Source organism: Homo sapiens, chromosome 1, assembly GCF_000001405.40.
Source record: "Homo sapiens chromosome 1, GRCh38.p14 Primary Assembly".
Taxonomy (NCBI): Eukaryota; Metazoa; Chordata; class Mammalia; order Primates; family Hominidae; genus Homo; species Homo sapiens.
The window spans coordinates 148,473,729-148,478,305 of NC_000001.11; positions in this window are offsets into that span (position 1 = coordinate 148,473,729).

Here is a 4,577-nt window from a genome sequence, read left to right on the forward strand (position 1 = left end):
AAGCATACACATTTAATTAAGGTTTGGTAAGGTGAAAGGTGTCAGCAGAGAATGTAAAGGTGAAATAATGAGAGAAAAAGGAGGACATCAAGGAGAAAGTCGTGTTTTGAAAAAAACAAAAAGGACACATTTTCAAGAAAGACATTGTCAATAGTTTAAATGTCACAAAATAGTAGAGTATAATGCAATTAAAAAAACAAAATCTATTGCTTTTGTTAATTAAATAACTAGTAACCTCGGCTGCAGCAGTTTCAGTAGAGTGAGGAGAGTTGACACCAAACTGCACCAGTGGAGTGAAAATAAGTGGGAAGAAAGAGTGAGGAAGTGGAGGACAGTCTTTTTTTTTTTTTTAATAAAATATTTTCCCAAACTGTCTTTTCTGGAACTTCCAACATGTCTGCTTAAGAGCTTGTCTAAGTTGAATTCATTCAAACTTCTTGAACCTAATTAGTTTCTTTTTGCTGTTTTTTTTTTTTTTTTTTTTTTTTTTTTTTGAGATGGAGCCTTGCTCTATCACCCAGGCTGGAGTTCAATGGTGCATTTTCGGCTCACTGCAACCTCCTCCTCCTGGGTTCAAGCAGTTCTCCTGCCTCAGCCCAATTAGTTTTAAAGACGCTGCATATATTGGCAGGGAAAACCTAGAACACAAAGTCAAACTTCCAATTATCTCCCTTCAGTGCTCAAATCAAGAGTTCATTTGTTGCAAGGAATGGGGATTTGGACTCCAGGGAGAAGAATAGAGTTTTAGAAGGAGAGTTCTCCTAAAACTAAATGGAAGGAGGGTTCTTTGAGATACCAAGGATTTGCAGGACTTTATTTACAATTAAATGTTAGTTTCAGACAGCCCAGGAGGAATAGGTCTATTAAAGGAAAGCAAGAGTAGTTGGCGTAAGGAAACAATTTGCATTGGAGCCTGAGAGTGAGTATAGTAATGACCACATGAGAGACCCATTTGACTCAAGTACTTCAAAGCATTGCCAGTGTTAGTCTTTGCTCCACAATCAAGTGGGGAAAAAGTGAAATGTCTTTGAAGAGCATTTCCTGTAGGTGGTCTTTGAGGAGGTCCTGAAAATTCCAAACCTGCAAGTATTAATGGCAAAGAATAAAAATTCTTTATGTAAAATACTTTTAAAAATCTTTCTAAATAGCAAGACATTATATATTACCATTGTTAAAAGATGAACGAATTGAGAAATATCATTAGAATTATATGCAGCAGATAAAATGGTCACTTTTTCTTTTGAGACGGAGTCTCGCTCTGTCGCCAGGCTGGAGCACAGTGGCGTGATCTTGGCTCATTACAACCTCCAGCTCCCTGGTTCAAGTGATTCTTCTGCCTCAGCCTCCCGAGTAGCTGGGATTACAGGCACGTGCCACCACCCCAGCCAATTTTTGTATTTTTAGCAGAGACGGGGTTTCACCATGTTGGGCAGGATGGTCTTGATCTCCTGACCTTGTGATCCACCCGCCTTGGCCTTCCAAAGTGTTGGGATTACAGGCGTGAGCCACTGCGCCCAGCCAAAAGGTCACTTTTTAAACTTAAAAATTATTAAGAAAACAGTGAAAACTTAATGTTTAAAAGAGTAGAAGATAGGGAAAATTATTATACAGAAAAAGATAAACAACAGAGAAAGATAAATAAATTGCCAGTGAATATGTAAAAAGTTGCTCAGCACCAGTGGTAGTTCAAATCCAAATAGCACTGAGTTAGCATTTGTTAACTAATAAATTGGCAAAAATTATATTTTGATAAAACCCAGTGTTGCTGACATCCCAAGAAAAAGGGCTATGCTCACACAGCCTTGGAGCATGTGCACATTGATGATTTTTTTGGCATAAAAATTAGTGGTTTCTATTAAAATCAGCAGTGTAACTCACAATCGCTAAGACATGGAATCAACCTAGGTGCCCATCAACTGTGGATTGGATAAAGAAAATATGGTACATATATGTCATGGAACACTTTGCAGCCATAAAAAAGAATAAAATCATGTCCTTTACAGCAACATGGATGCAACTCGATGCCATTATGCTAAGCGAATTAACACAGGAATAGAAAACCAAATACCACATATTCTCACTTATAAGCAGGAGCTAAACATTGAGTACACGTGGACACAAAGATGGGAACAATAGAAACTGGGGACTACTCGAGGGTAGAAGGAGGGAGGGGGTAAAGGTTGAAAAACAACTACTATGTCTAGTACCTGAGTGATCGGATCAATCATGCCGCAAACCTCAGCATTACACAACATACCCATGTAACAAACCTGCACATGTACCCACTGTATCTAAAATCAAAAGTTGAAATTATAAAAAATAAAAAAATAAAATCAACAATGTATATTTCTCTCACACAGCCATCACGATGATATATTTGGAATAATATATGCATAAGGATGTTCATTGCAGTGTTGTCTGCAAGGGCAAAGTGAAAACAATCTGAATAACCAACAATATGACACAGAGTAAGTAATTATTGGTACGTCTGTACAATGCCTCATGCAATCACCACTGACAGCGTGGGAAAGAGAGACATCTATTATGAAAAGACCACTAAGACATATGATTACATGATAAGTGCAAGGTTCATGAATAAATAGCATGTATACTAGTATAGCATACTTCTTTCTAAGAAAGAAACCATAACACATACAAGAATGGACAAGAAGTTATTAACAATAGCTAACTTTGGTGATAAGACTGTAGGTTGTAAAAAGCCAGACTTTCATTTCTCATTTTAAACCCAATGAATTATTTAAATCTAACCCTACTGCATTCATTATCTTTATAATAAAATAAATATGTATAACAATGAAACATAGTTTTTAAGTATTTGGGACATAAATTAAACATTAATAGATTACACCTCTTAAACTTGGTACTTTAGTATCCCATTTCTCTGTGAGAACTCTGAAAGCTTCATCTTCCACAGTTTAGGTAATTCTTTGGTGTCTTATTTTGTTATTTTCTTGCCTGAGATTAGCAATGTCAGATCTCCAAACTGCTAACTCTTCTCTTTGGCAGATCAAATGCTTCTTCTTAAAAAAATTAATTTTTTAAAATGTATTTCATAGGATTTTTGTTCTCTCTCTCCCTCTTTTTGTGCATATGTGTGTGTGTCTGATTAGTCTTTATTATCTTAAAATGGTTAGTCCTGATAGACCTGTTTCTTCAAAATTTCTCTCAGTTCTTTGGCAGTTTGCTCTTAGCTTATAATTAAAGATCAATTTCTGACTTGTCTTGTTCTAGAAAACCTCAATGGAAATTACAGCAAGCTGAATAGGATACTAATTAAAAACATAAACCTGGTGAAACCCGAACATAGAGGCTCCAGTTCAAAGATGCTTCCAATAGTTGACATGGCCCTTCATTCCTTAAAACCAGCTATTTTTCTTTCGAATTACATTACCTTTAATTCTGTAAATTGGATGTTATATAGTACCATGAAAACTGCTGTGAGTAATTATAATACTCATTGCTGAGTGATGTGACTTCTTTCTCAAGGCTATTTCTGAGGGAAATTGTACAATTAGATCTTTAGGTATTGTGACTTGTTTTGGAAATTATGGTGGCCCTCCAGGGAGCTAATGAATCTTTAATTATTTAGAGGTTCACATGAGACCCCTTACAGATATAAGCACATTAGCTCTTTAGCTAAGGGAACATTTAAAAACAGTAACATGAAATGTGTCAGACATAGAGGAAAGATGAAGAAGCAAGTAGAAACTAATGCAAACAGAGGAACTGCCAGCTCTCTGTGGCACTCTAGCTCTCTCTGTCAGTATTTGGTTGGCAATGTAGACATAGTGGATGAGTGCAATTACATATGTTAGGCTCATTCTGAAATGCAGGAGCATTTTAGATTTTCATGTAGAAGCCTGACAAGCAAACTACATCTAGGATATACTTTGATAACTTTGAGTTGAGAGCCAAATTTTTTGAAGGTAAACCATCTCCCTGTTTTAAAGTAGTGTTTAAAATTATAAAAATTTTAATACATCTGTAATATGAAATATTTAGCTATAAATACTACAAGTGCAAATGAATTTTTTTTTCTACTTCTGCATTCAACTTTTCTCTTCTCCCTTTACGGAAAACACTTTTGTGTAAAGGCCTCCAAAATATATGTAGAGACGTATGTATGTTAAAAACATGTATACATATAATGCATAACCAAACATATGAAATATCCTAAACATATGGACCTGAAAATTGCTTATAATAAATTTGAACTGAACATATAGGCATAAATGTGGTTCAGAAGTGTCCAGTTGAAGCAACTTCACTTTGTTAGGTCAACAAAAGTTGGGGACACCAAGATCTACTCCTCTGATTTTGTTCTAGCATTATCTTAATGGAAATGTTTACTGAAATGGAAATACATGTAGTGGACATCGTGGTGGTGTCTCAAGCATTCAGTGTTCCCTGCTCTCACACACTCCTAACCAAATAATGAATTTCTCAGCTTCACAATGTTTAAGTGACATGAGTCCCATGCCCAATTCTTGGTCATTGTAATTGGTGCATGGAAGGAACGTGTGCCTTCTGCTAATCAAATCAGAATGAAGTACAAC